Source organism: Homo sapiens, chromosome 14, assembly GCF_000001405.40.
Source record: "Homo sapiens chromosome 14, GRCh38.p14 Primary Assembly".
Lineage (NCBI taxonomy): Eukaryota > Metazoa > Chordata > Mammalia > Primates > Hominidae > Homo > Homo sapiens.
In genome coordinates, this window is record NC_000014.9 from 68,566,044 (window position 1) to 68,590,581 (window position 24,538).

General features: G+C 48.8%; 1 protein-coding gene across 6 annotated transcripts in view, besides 3 other annotated features; it reads left to right on the forward strand.

Moving 5' to 3' along the window:
• Positions 1-24,538, forward strand: part of RAD51B (RAD51 paralog B) — an 863,318-nt gene that overhangs the window by 746,265 nt on the left and 92,515 nt on the right. The gene's annotated exons all lie outside the window — the stretch shown is intronic.
• Positions 3,236-3,748: an enhancer, noted in NCBI's record as "H3K27ac-H3K4me1 hESC enhancer chr14:69035996-69036508 (GRCh37/hg19 assembly coordinates)". NCBI's record gives its function as "activates a minimal SCP1, AML or CMV promoter by ChIP-STARR-seq in primed H9 embryonic stem cells {active_cell/tissue: H9 hESC(primed)}" and the evidence as "EXISTENCE:reporter gene assay evidence [ECO:0000049][PMID:30033119]".
• Positions 10,361-10,530: an enhancer, noted in NCBI's record as "experimental_36356 CRE fragment used in MPRA reporter constructs". NCBI's record gives its function as "activates a minimal promoter by MPRAs in K562 erythroleukemia cells, with activity observed for both the introgressed and non-introgressed 14:69043206 variant alleles {active_cell/tissue: K562}" and the evidence as "EXISTENCE:reporter gene assay evidence [ECO:0000049][PMID:34662402]".
• Positions 19,325-19,826: an enhancer, noted in NCBI's record as "H3K4me1 hESC enhancer chr14:69052085-69052586 (GRCh37/hg19 assembly coordinates)". NCBI's record gives its function as "activates a minimal SCP1, AML or CMV promoter by ChIP-STARR-seq in primed H9 embryonic stem cells {active_cell/tissue: H9 hESC(primed)}" and the evidence as "EXISTENCE:reporter gene assay evidence [ECO:0000049][PMID:30033119]".

Here is a 24,538-nt window from a genome sequence, read left to right on the forward strand (position 1 = left end):
GCCACCTCACTTCGCTGGGCCTTGTCACTCTTCACCCTCTCTCCTGATTTCTCCAGGTTAAGCAGCTCCAGGACTCATCTTTCTCTGTACCTGCTGAGAAACTAACTTTACATAGCTTTTTACTAGAATGTTTGCTCTGTGAGGTCGGGGAGTGTGTCTGTTTTCTTTACTGCTCTGTCCTCAGAGTCTACAAGTATTTGCTGAATGACTGCTGACTGGTTTCCCAGGTGTAGCTGACAAAACCCTATCTTCAGCTCTTACACTCTGTGAGGAAACTCTGGAGAATTAATAAGAAGGTGAACCTGGTCTATTTCCCATAGAATTGTCTGATTCATCCCCTTTGTTAGTAATTAGAAGAACAACGTCAAGGCCAAATTTCAAACAGCAAGTCAGCAGCAAATCCAGGCAAACCCCTCAAACTTGAGCACTGCTTGTCTTGTATGCCCTGTTATGCCAGCTTCATTCAAATGGTGACCTTGATCCAACTGAGGAAGCTCATACTCAGGAAGCACTATAGGATCTCATTACCACTGCCAGATTGACCACTGTCTTCTACAGCTCTGTTCATGGACAGTCCAGGGCTCACAGCATACACCTACCAAGCTGGGAGAAACCCCCCCGGTGCCTCAGTGACTGGGGGCATGCTTGGATTGCTTTTCTCTCTGAAGTCTCATCAAATCCCACTTTCATGATGTCACTTCTCAGCCCTAGAAGCTACAAGACTTCCTTGTGTTCTCCAACACCAAATCCCAATTTCTCTGCTTGGCTTTCAAGATTCTTCATTATCTGGCCCCAACTTGCCTATCAAACCTTCTTTCTTATTACTCTTCAATGCATTCTCTCTTCTACCAGCAATGGCCAGGCCATGGGTTTATTGCTTTCCCTGTGTATTTTGCTTACTTCTTTTTCAATATGCTTGTTTTGTTAATATCCCAAATAGGCTCATACCTTCTTTTTTAAAAATTCAACTTTACTGGCCGGCACGGTGGCTCACGCCTATAATCCCAGCACTTTGGAAGGCCGAGGCGGGTGGATCACGAGGTCAGGAGTTCCAGACCAGCCTGGCTGAGATGATGAAACCCTGTCTCTACTAAAAATACAAAAAATTAGCTGGGCGCAGTGGCAGGCGCCTGTAATCCTAGCTACTCGGGAGGCTGAGGCAGGAGAATCGCTTGAACTTGGACAGCAGAGGTTGCAGTGAGCCAAGATCGCGGCCACTGCACTCCAGCCTGGGTGACAGAGTAAGACTCTGTCTCAGAAAGAAAAAAAAAAATTCAACTTTATTTTTTAGAGTGGTTTTAGGTTCATAGCAAAATACAGCAGAAAGCACAGAGAGTTCTCATATACCCCTGTCCCCCAACATGTACAGCCTTTTCCTCTCTCAACATCCCACACCAGAGTGGTACATTTGTTACAACTGATGAACCTACACTGACATCATTGTCATCCAAAGTCCATGGTTTACATTAGGGTTCACACTTGGTATTGTATATTCTATGGGTTTGTTACCACATGTTTATATGGTAACACCATGTATCCACCACTACAGTATCATACAGAGTAGTTTTTCACTGCCCTAAAAATCCTCTGTGCTCTGTGTATACCTACTTTTTATCATCTGTTTTCTACCCCAGTCATCACGGACAATGCAAGTTCTACCTTCCTCACGAAGTCTTTCCCAGTGACTGTAATCTGCATAGATCTCCCTCTTCCCAGGATCCTTGCTGTACCCACAAGAAGAACACCCTTGGCTGTGCCATTATTGTCTCCTCCTTTCATATTAGCCCCATCTCTGTAAGTAGATTTTAAGCTCCTGGTACTTGGATTCTACCATAGTGCCTGGCCTGTGGCAGGAGTTCCATATGCAGGGCTGACATATTGCATAGTTCCAGGGGTCCCGTTCACATGATATGAATGGGGCCCCTGGAGTTACACAAGTTATAGCCCTGTCCATAAGTCCTTGGTGATTGAATAAAACTCATTCCAGGACCTGAAAAAGAAACAATTATTGTGATCATGGTTCAGTTCAAATCTTCAGGTGATTATTGAACAGCTACTATGTACTAACCACCAATGATACAAAAAATGAATAAAATGGCTGTTCCTACCCTCTGAGAAACTATAGTCTTGCGACACAGAAAGGTAAGCAAACAGATCACCATAATACAATGTGAAAAGTGCTAAGATAGAAACATGGGTAAAGGAGATGGCACTTGATGTGTAGCCTGAAGGATTCATAGGAATTTGCCAGGTAGGTGAGTGGGTGGAGAATATTCCAGCAAAAAGGGACATCATTGGCAAAGTGAAAATACATGGTACATTTCAGAGAGCTGCAAGTGGTACAGCTTATTTTCTGATGATAAAACCAGAAGCCCAGTGGTTAAATTGCCTGTGGTCCCCAAGCAAACCTGTACCAGACCATTGGCATGATAGGATTGTGTGTATCACCTGCACTTACTGCTTCTGGAATCAAAAAGAAAGAATAGAGCCCTATCTTTCCTGGCCATCCCTTGCTCTTCCAAGGGCTGGGTGGAGTTAAGACACAGAACTTCCTTGTATTTTTTTCATATACACTACCCTGTGTTGCTCTGTGCACAATAGGGTGTACCATTCAAGCAGTGGAATTGGATCCCTCTAGAACCCTCACTGGGCAACCTCAGGAACGGGCAGCCATTTTCAACAAGCTTTCCTTCAAAGCTTGCACTGTTTTTGGCCTACCTCATAAGTTCTTCTTCTTCCTCGTCCTCCCTTTCTTCTTCCTCTGCCCTCTCTTTGCCTTCTTTCTCATCTTTTTTGATATTTTGGATGCAAGAAGTCTGGTTAATTGATAAAACCCAGTGTGGGCAAAAATAGAGTTGTTTCTTCCCCCTGCATGGCTTCCTCTCCCCAACCCAGTTGCTAAGTGGTCATTGGCCACCATATTGGAATTTAGATGTGGCTGGGCTTCCACAATGCATGGTCCAATCTCAGAGTGTGTTGAAGGGCTTTGGGGTCTGGTTGGATAAAACAGCTGAGGCCCAATGTTGTGGTTCTTGGCACCTCTCATTTCCCCTTTCTGTATTTCCCTTCGGCATCATCAGCAGGATTTTGTTTAAGGCTTCTGGAGCTTGTCTTTGTTTCACCCGGGAAAGTCCCTGCAGGGAGAGCTAAGATCTCCCCGGAGGAATGGGCCAGAGCCCTGACCTCTGTCACCCAAATTGTTTAGGAGAAGCAGCCCCCATAGGGGTTAGGAGGGTGATCAATTGGCAACTTAAGGAGTAAAGGCCTCTCTCTCCCTCTTCTCCCTCTGCTTATTGTGCTCAGAAGGGCAACAGGGTCAGCAGCAGCAAACTGAGGGGCCAACTCACCACGCCTTGAAAGAGGCTCGTTTTGTGTTTCAGTAATGAGCGCTCTTTCTCCCCTTGGATGCACTCAAATTTCACAAGTTACAGGGAACCTGTCAACTGCTGTTTTCATTGTATGGGGCTCACAGGGAACTTGGATATAGGGCAAGCTTGTTTCAAAGAAAGCAGGGGAAAGAAAAGTCCTGAATAGCTGCAATGTGCTGTCATATGCAGATCACAGCCCCAGTTGCTATGGGACACCTCTGCCCGCAGAGAGGGCAAGATGCCGAACGTCCCTTATTGATGTGATTGCCTCCTTGGAGATGGGAATGCCCCTCTAAAAGGGCCAGGCTAGGAGCCGACAGCACCACGGGCTCTCGGGTTTGCCATGGAACCGGGCCTGAAGCAGCCTGCATCCCAGCAGCCTCTGCCTTCCCACTGGCTGTTCAGTAGGGAGCCCCCCAACCCAGGGGCTGAGGGAACAGGCCAAGCTAACCCTGGAAAAGTGAGGAGAGGCAGGTGGGAAGGGTCCCTTTTTGCGGGGCACAAGCCTTTGCTCATAGAAGGGCTACTGGAGGGCATGGTTGTGAACCAGGCCTGATGTTAAAGACAGGTTTCACCTTCTTTGTTTGTCTTGCCCTCTGAGAACACTTGGCAATAACATTCCTTTCCTGACAGGCTCATTTTGTAGCTGACGGACATTGTTTTCTTTCCCCTGTTTACCTAATGTGGCCCAGAGTAACAGAACAGGCTGTGCCAGCGAGAGAGGAGAGTGAGCCTCCCCAGTGGCTCCTGGGTCCCCATACCCAGGTCCCTCTGCCCTGAGCTCCTTGTCTTGCATCTGTTTGCCCCACCTGTGGGAACAGGGACTACCCAGAGGGCTGTCCTGCCTGGAATCAAGCACTGGCAGGACCTGGGTCAGGGGAGCCTGCGATTAGGAGAGGGCCCAGAATTATGACTCTCTCCCCGGGGTCATTTGACTGCAAGGTTAGAAGGCCTGAGATCAAACAAGGCTATGAGAAACCAGCCTTGTCACTTTGCATAGGATAGACCAGTGGGAGCCAAGATTGGAGGCATCTGAAGGTCACTGTAGGACCTTAAAAATACCAGGGGAGGGTACTGTGAGAAACAGATTCCCATCAACTGTTTACTAAACACTCTATGCTATTTAAAGGGACAAAGGCATGGCCAGGTCCTATCATCAGGGAGTCTAAATCTGGGGTCTGCAGCTGAGCCAGGAGGGGGGTCCAGTGCCCTTGGCAGCCTGCTGTAACCTTCTGACCCTCTGTGTCCAGCCCCCATCCCCATTTTTACCTCCAGCCAAGCTTCCCCCTATGGGGGTTAACAGGGTAAATACTGTCCAGGCCCTTCCCTCAAAGAAGCTGCAAATCTAGTAAGAGAATAATATGTGCGTATATGAAACTATAATTTAAGACACTGTGATCAATAACCTAAAGGGAAAGGCTCTGAGGACATCCAGGGGTCTTGGGCTCAAAGGCTGGAGCGCCACACACACACACACACACACACATGCACACACACACACATGCACACACACACACATCAAATCACATATTAGCTCGTGTCTTCATGAGCTTTCCAGTTTGCAAACCGCTCACACATACAGCATTTCCTTTAAACTTCACATCAGCCAGTGAAGGGGCTTTGTAAGCCTGACATGTAAGATCTAACAACCCTCCCAGAATGATAGAATTGGCAGAGGGGGGAGGCAGAGACTGTCAAGCAATGGCAAGTTTTCTGATTGGCTGGAACACAGGGCAGGTGACCCCGTGAGCTAAGGTGAAACAACCAGGCTGAAGGCCTTGCATGCTGCAGTGCTGGGTACAACCATGTCAGTTCAAACCAGATTCAATTTGGTTGGTTAATGTGCCCATTTCCCATTGCTGCCATACAAACTTAGTAGCTTCAACAGTACAAATCAATTACCTGTATAATCCTGGAGGTCAGAAGTCCAAAATGGATCTCACTGAGCTAAAATCAGTGTCGTCAGGGCAGTGTTCCCTTCTGGAGGCTGCAGAAAAGAAAGTGTTGTCTTGTTTTTTCCAGCTTCTAGAGGCCGCCCACATTCCTTGACTCATGGCCCCCTTTCTCTGTCTTCAGAGCCAGCAACATCACAGCTCTCCGACCAATCATTCTTCCATTGCCACTTCTCCCTCTGACTTGGATTCCTCTTCTGCCTCCCTCTTCTTCTTTTAGGACCCTTGTGATTACGTTGGGCCAGGACAATGTGCCTGTTTTAAGGTTAGCTAACTAACAGCCTTAATTCCCTTTTTCCTGTCAGGGAACATGTTTATAGGCTTCAGGAAATAGGCCGTGGACACCTTTGAGGGGCCGTTATTCTCCCTACCACATATAGTTAGTTGGTTGATTGTTAGTTGTTCAGTTATTGGTTGTTTGGTGTTGGATGGCTGTTTTTTGTTTGTTTGTTTGTTTGTTTTTTGAGAATCTCCTTGGCTCAGGTCCTCACCTGAGAGCCAGATAATCACGTTTGTTAAAAGAAGAGAAAAAATGAGAGTGAGCAGCCGCTAAGGGGAAGAAGGAGCTACAAGAGGCGGCACAGAAAGTGGACATCGATTTTATTTCGTTGTCCATCATTATCAATCTATAAAGCACAATCCCCAAAACTACAGCACATGCCATTCTGGGGAAATTTGTTAGCTCACGGACCCCCACAGACCCCAGTGTGTGGCTGTTTCATACGTCATGCAAACAGGCCCTTGGACTCTGTCTCATGTCCTCTGGCTTAGAAGCAGGGATGTTTGTAATCTACAAACAAAAGGTCGTCTGGCCAACCTTTTGAGATGTAATCTCGAATCCAGATATACTAGTGGGTTCCGCTAAGTGTCTATTGGTCCCCTAGTGTCTCTCAAACCCACGGTGGGCTTCAGTCTCTCCCAGGCATCAGCCCTAACCCTGTGGCATGGGCCCTGCCCAGCTGCCTCCCAGACGTCACACCTTGCAGGCTGGACTGTGTCAGCAGCTGCCTTGCTTTCCTTGCTGGAAACCTAAACCTGCTTTTTAAGGAGCCCCTCAAAACTCTTGAAATAAGATGTGGGCATTGCTCACTTGCCCTGAGCTGCCCCTTGCAGCTGGGGGGCTGCTTGGTTTGCTCTCTTGGCAAAGCCCCTTGTTTTTACTCTGCTGGGGCCCAACTCCTTCCTTCTCTGTTTCCTTGCCTGGGGCTTCTGATTCCAGTAAGCCACCCCAATAACTCCTGCGGTGCCCCCACGGCTCACCTGCCAAAGCCACTCCCACCTGATCCCAGACTATCCACTCATCCCTGGCCTGTGACTTGTCCCGACCTCCCAGTGGGTCCTGGCTTCTATCACTGACCTTCTAGGTGGTGACTTCAATCTTGATATGCTCTTCCCCTGCTGACCTTGACTTCCCATCTCCAAATTGCCAGTGTCATATCAATAGCATCACAGCATAATGGCTAATGCTTCTGAGCTCTTACTACACCTCAGGTACTGTACATGTTTTCGCTCATTTAATCCTCATCACAACCCTAGACAGAACCCTATGAAGAATGGGTAGTAGCCCATCTTACGCGTGAGGAGACAAAAGCACAGAGAGATGAAACAGCCTACCAAGGGTGCCACAGGTCATATGTGATGGAGTCGGGGAATCAAACCCAGGCCAGGGAGTGTCATCATCCCTCACATCTGGATTTCTGCTACAGTCACCTCATACTACTCTATCTTATTTCCAGTCAACTCCCAGCAGCCAGGGTGAACTGTATGTACAATGGATCATGTCCTCCACTGCTCAGAGCCTTCCAGCAGTTCTCACCTCACTCACAGCCTTCCAGCAGCTCTCACCTCACTCATAAAAGCCAGAGGCTCATGTGGCCCACAGGCCCACGTGGTCGAGCCCTGCTCCTTCTCTACCCCACCTCCTGCTGTGCCCCCTCGCACTCTCCTCCACTCGGCTGCACTGGACTCCTTACTGTTTCTCAGAGAAACCAAGCACATCCCTGCCTCGGTGTCCCTGTACTTGCTATTCCTTCCACCTGGATTGCTCCCTGCCTCCTCACTGCCCATACTTGGCCCATTCCTTTCTTAAGGAGAGCTTTGCTGATGTTCTGCATTTAAGAAACTTAAGACCTACCTTTGCCGACATCCCTACCCAAAGTCTTCCTATCCCCCTTACCTGGCTTTATTTTTCTCCATATATTTGTCACCAAATAACACATGAGAGCTACCTGTGTTGTTTATTATCTGTCTCTCCCACGGGGAATAAAGCTTCAGGAGGGCAGCACCCTTGACCACTGCTACGTATCCAGCACTGTGTAGGGCGCCTAGCAGGTCTTTGTTAAATGAGTGGATGAAGTCTCAGGACTCCCCTCAGGAGCCTAAGGTTCTGGGAGGCTCCAGACCACCATCCAACCTATATCTGTTCCTGGGCCACCAAGGGGGCAGGCCTTCCATTCAGCCCGCAGATGAAGACTTTAGCTTCACTTTGGTGCTCAGTTCCCTCTACAGAGCCCGGCAAACAAGAGCATGCAGCACATGAGTATGGGCTGAGCTTGAGCTTTTGTTCTCATTGACTGCTGTGTGTGTGGGGGTGTGGGTGTGGGTGTCAGTGTGTGTATGTGTGTGTGTGTGTGTGTGTGTGTGCTCACTCACATGTTGAAGGAACTCCATTGCTCTCCTCTCCACCCCCACCCCTACTCCAGCAAGCTGAGGGTGAGAAATAGCTACTTTTTGTTTGTTTGTTTGTTTGTTTTTGTTTTGTTTGAGACAGGGTCTCGCTCTGTCACCCAGGCTGGAGTGCAGTGGCACAACCTTGGCTCGCTGCAGCTTCAAACTCCCAGCCTCAAGCAATACTGCCGCCTCAGCCTCCTCAGTAGCTGGAACTACTACTGGCTTTTATTGGCTGCACGCACCAGCATCTCACTGTGTTGCCCAGGCTGGTCTCGAACTCCTAGGCTCAAGCGATCCACCCGCCTTGGCCTCCCAAAGTGCTAGGATTACAGGTGTGAGCCACTGCACCCGGCCACAGCTACTTCCTTCACTATCAGCACCACAGAACACATAGGTCTTAATTCTCAGCCCTTAAAACCCAGTCCAGCCCACCAGACATTATTTAAAAATAATCCAACTGAGACATCTTTGTGGATCTCTACCAAAAAGATAGCTTTGTCCTCCCACCCATTGCTTTAGCAGCCTGTATAGGGGCACCCAGAGGGCCAGCCCACCACACCTGGGGCCTCCACTTTGAATCCACCAGGCCCACTCTAATGGGACAGGGACCTTGGGCCAGCGAAGCAGAAATGTATTACTGCAACAGCCCCGTGGTTTCAGATCCTTGCAGTAGCAGGTTCTGGGCATGTGTCCCCATCACCCTTCTCCAACAGAAAATAGTTTATTTTTATTTTTTCATGGCTGGCAGCAAGGCAGCACCTGTGGTAACCTCGTTAGTCAATTCCAAGAGCTCCTCAGAGAAGGGGGAAAGCCTGCCAATTTAGCAAGGATTTTTGGTCTCCAGTAGCTATGAAGTGTGGGGGGGATTGGGGAAATAAGCCCAGGAGCAAGAGAGGTTGGGGATGAGCAGTCTTCTCATCCAAATCCACTCTGAGGTTAGAGAAGAGGAAAGCACGCCATTGACTGGTTTTCTGATTGCCTTCATACATCCAAGTATGTTCTCCACAATGACTTTTTCTCTAGTGGGAAGCCATGGAGATGGACTTAGATAATACCAAGTACCATTTCCTGCATGCCTTTTGCAGGCCAGGCATTGTGCCAAGCCCTTCAGATGGTGCTCCTCAGTGGGAGCTTCTCAGCCAGGGTTTTCTGTCAAAGATACTGACTCGACAATCCTAGAGGATATGGAGTTTATTTATTCCCAACTGGAAAGTGAGGGACTCGAGTCTCTGAGGGGTTAGGTGACTTTCCCAAGTTCTCATAGCTTCTAAATGGTAGGGCCAGAAATCAAATGCTGTCTGATGCCAAGGCTTACATGACAAGCTCCCTCCCTGCTCCCTGCTCCCCCTGCCCCTCATTTCTCTGGCAGTCACCAGATTTTATTTTCCCCAGGATGAGAATCTGTAAAGGTTTGGGGTCTGGCTGATTTGGACTGAAATGGGCTCTGTGGCCTCTTCCCTGGGTCTTAGGCCCCATTTGAAAAATTGAAATGGACCGTTGAATCCCAGAGCCTTGCGGCATGGTAGATTGTGAAATAATTCCATCTCCTCCCCTCTCCCTCCCCAACGCCACACACCCATGGTGAATGGGGATTCTCCCAATGAGGAAGGCTCAGCAACTCCCAGGGCCCCTGACCTGTTCATTCTAGAAGCTTCAGGAGCAGCAGTCCCTGCACCCAGGCTCATGCCCCAGTTGGCAGCCAAGTTCATCCTCTGGACACCAACATAGCTTCAAAAGAGTCAGTGTCAGAAAGCCTCATACTTACCTTACCGTTTAGGGTAGTTTTTATTTTGAAATACATATAGAAAGATATATTAATCAGGGTCCCAGCAAGAAACAGAGTTCTTTTCAAAAGGATTTGACTAAGAAGAATGTAGTGAAGGCACAACTTATAGATGGACGGGCAGGGTTCAGGGCAGCAACAGGAATGTTGAGGCACCCAGGAACTAGCAATAGTGGGAAGATGATACCAGCCCTCAGCCAAAGGAGCAAAGAAAGGAAATAGTGTGACTGGGGCCTGGTGAGTCTTGGCAGCATAGAGGTGGCCACCTGGTGAGAGCAGTGGTCCCAAGGGCCACAGTCCCTGCCATAGCCAAGCACCAGAGCAAAGAGGGAGCAGGGGAAGAGACACCCTCCTGACCTCCAGCCTCCTGCCTGTACCTCACATTTGCCGGACACAAAAGGAAGCTAGAGGCAAAGGAAGCTGGTGATTCAGCTCCTAGCACTCAGCCCCAGGGGTCACAGAGCAGGGCACCAAAGGGAAGAGAATGAACATGAAGGGAGAAGGCAAATGGAGAAAAATAAGCACAGGGGACACCTTCCTCCTTTTCGTGATTAGGATTGTTACCATTGCAGACCTGCCTGCCACCCCCAACCCAGAGGACCTTGAGGCTTTGGGGAATGAGAAGTAAAGCCCCCACTAGAAGGTTGAGGATGCATAAAGCTTAAAACCCTTGTTCTAGGGAAAGTGTCTTTGCAGCCTTTCCATGGCACTTAGTGAGGAATGAGTCTTGTTTCCAGATGGAGATGCTAAAGCATCCAGGCATGCCAGCCCTGGGGAATGCAGGGAAACAGTCTTAGGGATGGACCCAGGCCTTGGTACTTTAGAGCTTCTAGGGTATGAGTCATCTTTGCCTCTTAACAATCAGATCAGTGGTACCCTTCTGACCTCTGTCATTTGGCTGCACTGGAGGCAAGAAATGGTTTGGACTCACGCAGGGGCATGATGTTAGTAAGGAAGGGGTCAGAGGTGAACCTAGCTTGGGTGCTCCACCTCTTGACTCAGAGTCTGTGCTCTTTGATGAACTTTCTGTTACCTTGGGATCTTCTACAGCAGGTCCTGGTGTGCAAGTATTTCAAGATCAAGATAAAATATTTCATTGTGTTTTATTTAGGAAAAAAATGGTAGATGAAAGCGGAACCAACAGGGGCATTCCGTTTGTGGTTTGCTGAGATTCCCTGGAAAGCAAGCTTGGGAGGCCAGGGTCTGTCAGAACACAAGACCAATGTCTTCTCCAAAACTTGGATGAACAGAAGGTGCTTACAAGCTGACAGGGAGTTATGGGGAAGGAAGCAGAATTTCCAGTTTGGTTCCAAGTCTTTTCTGGTCTTGACCTTTAGCCTAAAAACAGAGGGCCCAGTTGTTCTCCATTATTACTGTAACTCAAAAGGAGACACATGGGTCCGGGAGAGAGTTGGGAGGCAATACTAGGTTTGCACGTTCTGAGTTCATGGACACCCAAGGAACTGCCCCTCCCTAGGATAACTAGAGCCAAGCCACTGGACCCTTCTCATCCTGTGGCCTTGTCTACAATTTTAATCATTTTGAAGATGAAGGTTTTGAAGATGAAGGCCCAGCCTCAAAAAGGAATAACCAAGAACAACCCTCTCTCCCTCCTTTAGTTTAGATGCTTCCACAGTCAAATGTAAAATTATTCATGTGCTTTTACTCATTATTCATCTGATTTTATGTAAAAAAAAAAAAAATGGAATCCTAGGCTGGTCACTGCATGGTGTTCTCAATCACAAGCCATGAGCCAGGGTTCAACATGCTCCCTTCACTTCAGACCTTCCTCACAACTGAGCCTGGATCCCACTCTGGACCTCATGATCCGCCTACCACGGCCTCCCAGCGCGCCCAGCCCCTGCTTTATTTTTCTATATAGCACTTATTGTTACCAGATACATTTGTGTTTATCACCTCTCTCATCACACACACACACACACACAGTTAAAGGCAGGGACTTGGTCTATTTTCTCAAAGTTGTGTCCCCGGCACTTAGAATCCTACCTGCCGTGGTGTACATGCTCAATAAGTACTTATTAAGTGAATGAATGGAGTCAGACATGTCCTCAAGGGTAGGTTCAAATCAGGGAGAATGGTGGGTGTCCTTACTGCTTTATAGGATTTCATGCTGGCCCCAGACTTGAGTCATTTCCATCAGGCAAATTCCTGAAATACTTACTGGTCTTCCTGATTCTGTGGTATGTGCTTGTCAACAGCACATTGTCGAACACGTTGCTGCCTATGCAACACTATGTGGCAATGGCTGTTGAAACTCGTTGCTAACAGAAGTGAAAGCAAAGAAAAGCAAAGATAAAGAACGTAATGGCTGGGCGCGGTGGCTCATGCCTGTAATATCAGCACTTTGGGAGGCTGAGGTGGGCAGATCACTTGAGGTCAGGAGTTCGAGACCAACCTGGCTAACATGGTGAAACCCCTTTTCTATTGGCTGGGCGTGGTGGCATGCACCTGTAATCCCAGCTACTCGGGAGGCTGAGGCAAGAGAATCGCTTGAACCCGGGAGGTGGAGGTTGTAGTGAACGGAGATTGCACCATTGCACTCCAGCTTGGGCAACAAGAGGGAAACTCCATCTCAAAAAAACAAAAACAAAAAAAGGAGAAAGAAAGTAATTTCCCCGCCATGGATGATATGACATGGCAGCTTTCATGGAGGTTTCAGAATCTGCCGGCCCACCTCACACATGACTTCCTATGCAATTAGTATAAAGCAAAGAGACAACAGACAACACTTCACACCTGAGCCCCAGGTCCTGAATGTCTTTGGATAGCCTCTCTCCTTGAAGGATATATTGACTCACAGGCAAAGGGCCCTTATAATGATATAAAGGAGACCAAGTTGGAAGGAATAGATCACAGGAAGGTGAAGCCCAAAATCCAGAAGGGAATTTCAGGGAAAGTGGTCTGGACTCAGGTACCCTGCCCAGATCCATGTGCCTTCCAACACGTGGCAGACAGAGAGGTGACAAGACAAAGGAGGAAAGCATGCTCAAGGGATAGCTAATGGGTGTGTCATTCGACCTTCCCAAGACCTAGCTCTCTGGAAATATCAAGGGTTCAGGGGGCTGGGTCATAGGCTTGCTTTCCTTCTAGCTCACTGTGTGGACCTGGATAAGTTGCTTGGCCTTACCCATCCACCCTTAGTAGCCTCTTCTCTGGCCCCTTCCATGGTTCTGTGCAGAGTAAAGAGGTAGGACACACAGTAGGGCCCAGAAGGGTCTCCTGGCAGTCACTGATGCCAGATTCAGCTCTCTTGACTCTCCATGTTGGTGACGACACCACCAATTTTCCTTTGCACACATGGCCTCACCTTGAAAATTCAAGAGTCTACAGTCAAGTCACTTCTGCTTCTAGGGGCCTCCCAGAAGCACCTAGTATTCTGTTTCAAGTCCTTTGTCCAGCTGCTTTCAAATCACCAAACTCCTCTCTCCCTCCCCTCCATTACTACCCATGGAGATCCAGAGGAGGGACTTCTTAACTTCTCAGACAGTGAATTGAGGGAGCTCAGAGATTTCTTTTATTCCTGGAGCACAGAATGTAACGTAGGTGCACCAGATCAAAGGCATAGCAGCAGCCTGAGCTTCTCTTTGACCAAGTCCTGGGAGGCAGGCTGGGTGTTTGTGTTTGAGGATAGAGTGCCAGATGTTGCAAATAAACATAGAAAACACTCATTTAAATTTAAATTTAAGATGAACAATGAATACTTTTTTTAGTATAAGTGTGTTTTATAAAATATTTGAGCCATATGTATACCGAAAAATGATTCCTTGCTTGTCTGAAATCCAGATTGTGTTGGGTGGTCTATATTTTACCTGGCAGCCCATTTGCATGTTTCCTAAACACACCGGCAGCTCCCAAATCAGCCTGGAGAGAGCTGAGCCTGGTGCGTGGGGCATACCTTACAACCCCAGTTTCTGTTCCCCACCCATGTTCTTTCCAAGGAGGCTGGCTGCCCCACTGTCAGAGTGTCCAGGAAAGAAAATAGAAGAGAGAAAATGGTCATGGGGTTCACGGGCATTGTGCCCCCACCGTCGGCTGCAGCAGAGACTCAGTGTGGCAGATGCCTCCACGTCTCCAGCCCAGGCCCAGTCAAGCAAGGGCCCTAAGATCTGCCCAGAAGGAGAAGGTGTGGGAGGGGGCGGTGCCCGCAAGTGGAGGTGGGGGACAGGAAAGGGAAGGGCCCGCAATGCCAGCATGGAGCTTCGAAGGGGACTTTGAAAGGTGCTGCCTATGAAGCACTGCTTTCCTCCAGAGCAGCCATCCTACCTGCCTGCCCTGAGACCCCCGCTGGCTACCATTATCCCAGGACAAAACAGGGCCCGGGCTCCCGGTTCCCCCTCATTTCCTCTTTCAGTGTATTTTCTCTCCTCCATGTTCTGGAAGTTTCTCTCAGTGTAAGCCTTGTCAGGGAGGCCTGCCACTCTGCCCCACCTCTTCGCCTCCTGCTTGCCCTGCGGCCAGCTGTGGTTTGGCCTGATCTCAGAGCTTAGCACACAGCAGGTCTCCCAGGGTTGGAGGTCCATCCTACCTTTGAGTAGCTGTGTGACCTTGGAGGAGGCCTGTCCTACCTTTGAGTAGCTGTGTGACCTTGGACTACTTAGTGCTCGGCACCTCTGCTTCCTCATCTGCAAATGGGCACTCTGGGCAAGATGAAGTGAGTCACTGAGTGGGAAGTGTTTGGGACAGTGACCCGCGTGGAAGAGACATTGTTATACACGTGGGCTTTATTCCACCCCTGCTGCTCCACTCAGCTGTTCCTCAGTCACCTCCACTGATTTTGTTCTTAGCTGTAGCCCTTCTTGAACCCCTGCCGTCCTAGGTGCACACGCCTGCCCCACACCTCCCACTGTCCCCTCCCTGGGTGCCCATGACTCTCTTCTTCCCTTTCAGTTATTTTCCTCTCTCAGACCCATCCAACCAGCCCCATTTCCCCAAGGTTCTGTTCTAACCTCTCTTTAATCCTTTTTCCCTTGGAGATCTCAAGGAACAGATGGGAGCCTCAGCACAGTATAGCCTTGTATGTGCACAGGCCATTTCCACACGGGGCGGGGACGTGGCAGCTGTGCTTTGGCGGTCATCTCTGGAGAAGGGCGGCTGGGGCTCAGGAGGCTGAGGGAGCTCCTGCTTTTCACTTTCTTCCCTCCTGTGAGATTCAGTTTTTTTCATAAGCATTAATTACTTTTATTAATATAGTAGAATTGCAACTGTAATGTAGGATTTTTTTTTAGGAGAAGGGATAGATTACCTTTGACCAGGCTCTCAGGGTTTCTTTATTAAGTAATCTGCCTTTAAGATGGGATAGGGGGAGGGCATTCAAAGTAAAGATGGTCCCCTAGTTGTGATTTTTCGACTTTATGATGGTGCAAAAGTGATAGGCGGTCAGTAGAAAGTGGCACCACATTCTCCCATGATGCTGGGTGGTGGTGTGAGCCATGTCTCCCGGTCAGCCAGCTGGTTGGGAGGGTAAAGGGCCAATGCCGTACAGTGTGCTGTGCTGCTAGGTGATGTTGCCCAGCTCTGGGCTGTGGAAGCGTTCTGAGTACACTGAAGGTGGGCTAGGCTCAGCTGTGATGCTCAGGAGGTTAGGTGGATCCAGTGCATTTTCACTGGTATTTCCAGCTCACCCTGCATTTATCTGGATGTAATCTCATCATAAGTCAAGGAGCATCTGTACAACAAGCAGTCTGAGGGAAGGCACAGAGGAGAGGCTTTGGCACCTGGAAAGAAATGTCGGGCCTCATACTGCCCATAGTAATTTGTAGATTCAATGCTATCCCCATCCAGCTACCATTGACTTTCTTCACAAAATTAGAAAAAAACTACTTTAAATTTCATATGGAACCAAAAAAGAGCCCGTGCAGCCAAGACAATCCTAAGCAAAAAGAACAAACCTGGAGGCATCACGCTACCTGACTTCAAACTATACTACAAGCTTACGGTAACCAAAACAGCATGGTACTAGTACCAAAACAGATACATAGACAAATGGAACAGAACAGAGGCCTCAGAAATAACACTACGCATCTACAACCATCTGATCTTTGACAAACCTGACAAAAGCAGGCAATGGGGAAAGGATTCCCTATTTAATAAATGGTGTTGGGAAAACTGGCTAGCCATATGCAGAAAACTGAAATTGGACCCCTTCCTTACACCTTATACAAAAATTAACTCAAGATGGATTAAAGACTTAAATGTAACATCTAAAACCATAAAAACCCTAGAAGAAAACCTAGGCAATACCATTCAGGACATAAGCATGGGCAAAGACTTCATGACTAAAACACCAAAAGCAATGGCAACAAAAGTCAAAATTGACAAATGGGATCTAATTAAGCTAAAGAGCTTCTGCACAGCAAAAGAAACTATCATAAGAGTGAACAGGCAACCTACAGAATGGGAGAACATTTTTACAATCTATCCATCTGACAAAGGGCTAATATCCAGAATCTACAAAAAACTTAAACTAATTTACAAGAAAAAAACAACCCCATCAAAAAGTGGTCAAAGGATATGAACAGACACTTCTCAAAAGAAGACATTTATGCGGTCAACAAACATATGGAAAAAAGCTCATCATCACTGATCACTAGAGAAATGCAAATCAAAACCACAATGAGATACCATCTCATGCCAGTAAGAATGGCGATCATTAAAAAGTCAGGAAACAACAGATGCTGTAGAGGACGGGAGAAATAGGAATGCTTTTACACTGTTGATGGGAGTATAATTCGTCCAACCATTGTGGAAGACAGTGTGGCAATTCCTCAAGGATCTAGAACCAGAAATACCATTTGACCCAGCAATCCCATTACTGGGTATATACCCAAAGGATTATAAATCATTCTGCTATAAAGACACATGCACACGTATGTTTATTGTGGCACTGTTCACAATAGCAAAGACTTGGAATCAACCCAAACGCCCATCAATGATAGACTGGATAAAGAAAATGTAGCACATATACACCATGGAATACTATGCAGCCATAAAAAAGGATGAGTTCATGTCCTTTGTAGGGACATGGATGAAGCTGGAAACCATTATTCTCAGCAAAGTGACACAAGAAGAGAAAACCAAACACCACATGTTCTCACTCATAAGCGGGAGTTGAACAATAACACATGGACACAGGGAGGGGAACGTCACACACCAGGGCCTGTAAGGGGCTAGGGGGCTAGGGGAGGGATAGCATTAGGAGAAAAACCTAATGTAGATAACAGGTTGATGGGTGCAGCAAACAACCATGGCATGTGTATACCAGTGTAACAAATCTGCACGTTCTGCACATGTATCCCAGAACTTAAAGTATAATAAAAAATAAAAAAAATTTAAAAAAGAAATGTCCTGCCTCAGCTGGTGGTGGCAGGTGCTGTGGCTCACTAAGGCCTCAGGTCCATTGGCTTTACCTGACAGGTTTGTCTACAGCGCCTGCAGACCTGCCAGGAGGGGGTGACACTCTTTGGAGACAGGGTGATCCCCTAATAGTGATGTAAGTGGGAGGAGAAGCTGTAAAATAAGTTTAGGAAATAGAGACTCCCCCACATACTTTTGGGGGTCCAGGTAAGGGTACAATGTAGACCAGCTTTCATATGTCCAAATATTTGAAAGTTACAAATCAAGCTAACAAACTATTACATAGAATATGTTCTCTCCTCTTGCCTTGACAAACGCACCTTCCTGATATGGTGAAGGCCAACCTTGAATTTAGAACCCGTGGACCCCTCAGAGTTCCACACTGGAATGTGGTGGCCTTGGGGGAGCCCGCCTGGGCTGGTTTCAGACCCTGGCTCCATTTAGCACTAGGAAGGGCCTTGAGCACACATGTGTGGGCACTCAGCTCACATGTGCAAGCTCCGCAGTGCCCTCAAGCCACCCCTGGTCACCACCCGAGGCCTATGGGTGTGCACACCAGTAATGTGATCCACCCACAACTTGGCCTTGGGCTTAGGCTCAGGGAATTGACCAGGGAACTCCAGGATCAGAATGCACAAGGCACTGTCCAACGTCCAGCAGCAGGGCATATGTGGGTCCTTGGGGCCATATTCCTTTAACCTGTGGACACTTCACCCACGGCTGGAGGTGAGCCAGAGCAGACTCCCTAATGTGTGGGCCACAGCACCGGCCACTCCAGTCACCAGATGAGGACCTGGCGGGGGTGAGCTTAGCCAATGAAAACCGGAGGAAGGAGCTTTAAAGGTTTCCTAGAAGAGTCCTCCAGATGCCCAGGCGCCCCCCCACCCCCCATGCTGGGGCTGGATTTCTGCCCAACACCTCGTGCCTCAGGGTCATTCAGGTGTCACCGTCTCATGCTCCTGACACAGTGAAGAGCTTGTTTTCCTCCTCACACTCCCTGACTCTAATCCCCACCAGCCTGTGCCACTTGGCTGGCCTCCTTGGCAGAAAGGTGACAAAAGGACACGTCTCTGGAGAGTCAGATCCCTCAGCTGCCGGAATCTAGGACCTCCTTGGGGCCACATAAGCCAATGGCTGAGGGTCCTGATCTTGTTACTGATCTGGTTTCCTTCGACCTCTTATAGCCAGGGTGTTGGTGGGAGTCACTCAAGCAAATTCATTAATCTTAAGGAAGCAGGAGCTATTACAATCGAGCAAGCCTCTTTGCTTCTCTCTAACGCTCATGCTCCCATAGCATTGCCCTCCTGCCCTGATCAGCCTTCCCTATAGAACCTTACCTCCCAATGTTTCCTCACCTCCAGCCAGCTCACCTCTGCCACTGCGCTTCTTGCCTGCTCCCAACATCTGCTCATCTGCACCTACCCAGCTGTTCTTATTTCTATCCAAATCGCTTTCGTCCTTCAAGGTGACTTGAGATTTCACCTCCATAAAAGGTTCCCAACACTTCCATCGATTCTTCCCCTGCTTTATCACCTGTATTGTTTACCACCTGGACCCAACATTTGGCCCATGAATTATGTTCATGTTAGTACTTTATAACATATGGCATTTTTATTCTTCCATGTTATGTAGAAATCATAGAACTAGAAGAGATCTTAAAGACTACCTAGTCCCATCCTCATTTTCTGAACATGAGGAAACCGAGAGAGAGGAAGGTTGTTGTAACTTGCCAGGCAGAGCCCTCAGGGTTTGGCAGAGCTGGGCGTTACACTCAAATTACACTCAACACTCTTAGCCCAATCCAGGACTTGCCACAAGCTCTTGATGCCTCTCTACATAGAAGTCTGCTTCACCCATAGGATGCGGCGGTCAGGAAGGTCAGTCTCAGAATATACTCAAGTGGGCAAATGGGGCCTTCCCATTTTCTGGCAGGACACAGCCCAGAGAGGTGCATTCCCACCTCTGTGTACTCTATTATTTAAGTTATTTGCATTTTAATAACCAGCAGGCAAAAAAGGCAGTGGTCACCTAGATTTTCTCAGACCAGCCTTGATTCCCTGCTGTCTCCCCATGGGGAATTTCAGGAACTCCCTTTTCTTCAGAGGGAATAAGCCCAATTCCTGCTTCACCATGGCAGGGAGGCCGGCTCCTTTTGCTGCCAATCCCCATTATCCCTCGCATTTCCATTGTGGAAGTGCAGAGAGGTTCTTAGCGAGTCTCCCCTCGGACTTTCCCAGGGGCTCCTGACGAGGAGCCCCAGGCGGGAGGCTGATGGGCTAAACAAGCAACCAAGGAATAGCCAAACAGGCTCCAAGTCAGAGCCTATCTTTAACAAAGGTGGGATAAAGGGAGCAACAAACTAGAAGGCAGAAGGGTAGGGAGGGGCTGGGGACAGGATGACCTGTCCCAGGTAAGGCCCCTAAATGCTAAGTAAATTCCCCAAGTCAAAATCAGCTGGAACAGGGCAGAGCAAACATTTTTTTCCTCCCCACCCCGACCCCGGGTGTCCTGCTCACTGCAAGGAAGAAAAACAGAATAATGAGCCACGTTGGAGAGTGTCACTCCAGCAGCTCCGGAAAGACGTGGGCAGACGCCTGGCTGGGCGGCTGACTTTCTCTGTTTCTGGTAGAGATTTTATAAATATTCGGGGAGTTTGATCTGAGGCTGTTGGTGGGGAGGCAAGGAGAGCTGCAGAGGGGGGAGACAACTCAGCCCACGGGGGTTCTTGGACCTCTCTAAAGCCTGCTTTTCATTAGCGTCGCCAAGGCAACGGCTCATCTGCTGCAGATCTCATCAAGGCCCTGCAAAGCATCCACGGCACGTTACGCTTTGCGTTTCACAGTGAATCGGCTGCAATCAGTCTTCCTGCAGCCCTCCCTTACCCCCATCACCTCCTAGCCTATGGAAGAGAAGATCATTAAAGGCGGGTGAAAAACTGCAATCAGAACTCTCCGAGGCTGGCACGGAGAGGCAGAGCTGCGATAGTCCTGTTCCGAGGACAGTAGATTCGCCCTGAGGACTATTCAAAGCTGGGCAGTGATGAGCCTCAAGTAACCCGATGGACCTGTAGCAACTCCCCAGCTCAGTCTTCTTCCATGGTGCACACTCAGCCTTGATTCTTGTCTCCTCCCTGCCTGACCTAACCTTTCCCCTCCACACACCTTTATTTTTTACCAAGGCGAACATTTGCGGTGCGCCCAAGAACCTCACCGGCCCTTGTGCCGATCGGTTCCAGATGCCCATGGAAATGCAAGCTCATGTGTTTCTCTGGTTTTAACAAAGGTGTCCAATGAGTTCTAAGGGTGATGTCAGGGGAGGTGGGGGCAGACCAGGGAGTAAAGGGAGACCCATGTTGGCAAAGCAGTGTGAGAGCAGGTGAGTGGGCCCAAAGAGTAGGGCCAGGTGTCATGCTCAGCACAGCCAGGTAGGGAATGTGCACAGAACACATTAATTCGGCTTCACAGACACTCCCATTCTCAGCATGTACCCCATGGAAATCCAGTCACCCCCTTTAAAAGTTGGCTCCTTCCATGGCCGGGTGCGGTGTTTCACCCCTGTAATCCCAGCACTTTGGGAGGCTGAGGTGGGTGGATCACCTGAGGTCAGGAGTTTGAGACCAGCCTGGCTAACATGGTGAAACCCCATCTCCACTAAAAATACAAAAATTAGCTGGGTGTGGTGGCGTGTGCCTGTAATCCCAGCTACTTGGGAGGCTGAGGCAGGAGAATCACTTGAACCTAGGAGGCAGAGGTTGCAGTGAGTCGAGATCACGCCATTGCAGTGAGCCGAGATCGCGCCATTGTACTCCAGCCAACAAGAGCAAAACTCTGTCTCAAAAAAAAAAAAAATTGGCTCCTTCCAGCTTTGAGATCCTGAGGCCAGCAGCCAGGGATCCTGCTCTCTGCTATATGTCAGTGTTCCAGCACAGTGCCTGCGCATAAGAGGCCCTCAGCAGTGTCTTCAAAGAAGGAACCCCTCTGTCCACACAAAAGAGGGGGAGAGTGGTCAGGGCACTGCAGAGGTTGGGGTTGGGTTTTCTGGTTGTCTTTCTAGCTTGTCTTTGTGCTGGAAAGCAAACCTGAGCTCCAGCCTCTCCCAGCCCCTCCTTTCTGTGGAATGCAGATCACCCCAGCTCTCCTGAAAGATTGGTACTCAGAGCCTTTGAGCAAGCCCTGGGAAAATGCAGAATCTCAGGCTGTAATTACGAGCTGGAGAAGATCCCTCCCCCAGCTATAAATGGAGCAGAACCAGGAACCCAAGACAGCTGGGCTCACACAAAGGCAGCCCCTTGCTTTCTTGCTTGCTCCTACTTTTCCCACTGAGCTTGGCCCTGGAGAAGCAAACCCCTAATTCCTCTGCTGGTCTGAGCAGGAAATTCCCGTCAGCTTGTGGGAGAGGCCATCTGAGAGAGATTTCAGCACATCCATCCCCCCCGAGATCCAGAACCGTATCAAGTCCTACCCCAGTCCCGCAGAGCAGCTTCTTCCTCCACAGCTTCTGAGCTGCACCGAAGCAGGCCTCCGCCAGCCTTTGCTACCCAAGGCTGATGTTGGGTTTTTAACACTCAGCCAAGTCATAGGGAAGAGTAAGATTTACAATAATTGGGTACATAGCATAGCTGACTGGGCTGCACAGTGTGGCTTTTGGTCAGTTCTGGCATTCTGGTGGGAAAGCTGCACTGAAGAGGCAGAGAAATGCCAGCCCAGATGGCAGACATGGTGCATTTAAAAAGGCAGTGTGGTATAGATCCTCGCTCCTATAAACGCGGGCCTGGAACCTGCAGCAGGAGCATCACCTGGGAGCTTGTTACAGAAGCAGAATCTCAGGCCCTACTGAATCAGAGAATGGGTTTTAACAAGCTGGCCAGCGGACACAGGCACATTCAAGCTTGAGGCAGAGTGGAGCACAGGAAAGAACATATGGGTGCGTTCATCCCAGCCTTGTGGATTCCTAATGCCAGCTTTGTCACTCAGTAGTATGTGACTTTAAGTTAAGCTCCCTCTCTGAGCTTCAGTTTCCTCCCCTTTACAGCAGAGATGATGTAACCTATTATAAAGGGCTGATGTGAGGCTCGACCTGGTACCAGCAGGCTCCTACCCTAGTCAATGTTAGCAGCACAGAGATGATTGCTCAGGGAACATCAAAATCCTTTATTTCCCCAAGGCAACTACCTAGGAGATGCAGCTTCAGTCCGTCCTCTTGCTATTTCACTTTTTTATTTTCTGGGGAGACTTGTAGTCCCCTGACCATGAATTTCAGAGCCAACAGTGGTAAGCTTTTCATTCTAGCTACCCCCGTGTGAAATTAAGATCCAGAGTGCCCCCAGAGGGACCAAGCTTTCTCATGTAGAATAGATCGCTATGGGTGAAGGAACTGAATGAATGCGGTCTGGCAGGGTCAGTTCTGGGGACAGGGGCATTCCAGGAAGAGGAGATACAACATGTAACTTTCATAATGGATAAATGGCTCCTTGGCGGTTCCCCACAAGTGAGTAGTATCGAGTCTGGATTTCATTTCTTTCACCGTCTGTGAGTTTCCTTGAGAGAGAGTAGGATTCTCTTGTCATGGGGATTGGAGTTTTAACCCACTTTTCTTTGTTTGGTGTTGGTGTGTTCTGTCATTACAGTCCCCTACTGCTTTCCCAAGCTAATGTAATGGAACACAGGGATGGACAAGCCACGAGGGTCTGCAGGGACCTCAATGTCTCCATAAATGCTGGGCTGATTTTGCAAAGCTGCTTTCCCAACGGGGCTTGGCTAAAGCTGCTTTTCAAATTAGTTTTGTAGAGGAAAGGAGGGCAGGTCAGCTCCCAGGTACCAGTTGGGTGACCTGGGGCGAGTCCCTTAACCTCTCTAAGCCTCAGTTTCCTCCTAGGATGATAATGCTAATACGAGAATCTCCTTGAAGACAGCCATGCATGTCTCCACCCATTCTGGGGATAACAGAATTACTGGCGGATTAAGTAACGTGATACTTACAAGGAACATGGTACAGAGAGTGGAATATGGTCAATAAATGGTAGCTGCCATTTTTGTAGTCATTAGAAGAGGCGAGCCTTGAACGACTAGCCTCTGTTGAAAATTACAAACAAGAGAGTGGCCTACATTTGCAAACAGTGAGCATAGCCACCCATTCCTGTTAGGGTCAGCAACTGACCCTCCCTTCCCCCGCCTTCACTTTTTTTTCTTTAGCTGCAGGAGTTGAGACATGTGGCTCACCAGGCTACCTCAGTGAGTTAAAGCTTTAAATAAATACACACTCAAAACGGCTATCACATCACTGCCCCCATGACTGCCACAAGCCCCTCCCGACCTGGGAACGTCTCTTCCTCCCTCTCCCTTTCTCTGCTGCTAGAGGCCAGGCCTTGGCTGAGCCCTGGAGAGGGTATCTCCTTTGCACGTATGCTGGTCCCAGGGGCCCTGCACAGGGCAGATGAGGGTAGTCCTGATCCTGTACAGACTCTCCTCTTCCTGGGTTTGTTAGAAGCCTGGCCAGGCCCCTAGTCTTATGACTTCAACAGATGTTTCTGCTTAAGGAGCCCTGGCATCTTTATGGCCTGTTTTTTCCATTCTTGCCTCTCTTCCTCTGTCCCAGCAGCCCTGAATGCAATTTGGACTTTATTTTCTTTCTAATGGTTACAGGGATAGAAAGGGCTTTTTCCCCCCCATTTTCAGTTTTTGGCTTTTTCATTAGCTCATCAAGCTGGGTATGTCTGTGTTAGCTCACACAGACATATTCACACACGAACACACACATTCCATATGCATTCAGATCTGTACCCATGGTGTGTATTTCTTAATGTTGCACTGACATTTATTGCCACTTCAGACCCAGCCCATTTCAAAGCCTTCCTCCCTGCCTCCACCCCACACTTCACATTCATCCTCTGCCTAGCCTCACACAGGTCACCCTGAGCAGCCGACTGGGGTGTCACCCAGATGCTGATTCCAAAAACTAGTGCTGGCCTCGGCCTCCAGCAAGATGTGTAGAGCCTCAGTAACTCACCAGTCTGCCTCTGTGCTTCCAAGGAGTCTTGGGCTGACTGATGGAGTGAGAGCTGAGACTGCATTTGCCATGCATCTCTTCAAGCTCTGCCTGGCCAGCCAGTCTACCCAGGCTCAGGGGGCCAAGTTGACAGCTGTTAAAAAAAAGAACCAGTTTTCCATGAGCAGGCTTGAAACCAGTCTGGCCACCCCTTGGATCTACACCTGTAACTGCCCCCAGCTTGCCAGCATGGCAGGGTGTTCCCAGTCACCTCCCCCGCAGCGTTGGGGGTTGCCTGTCCCATCAGTCTGGTTCCCAGAGCAAAGGAAACCTGGCGATGTCAGGTCTTCAGCTTTTAGTCTATCTATGGCAAAGGTGCCTGGGGCTGGGACCTCTTTATTACCTCC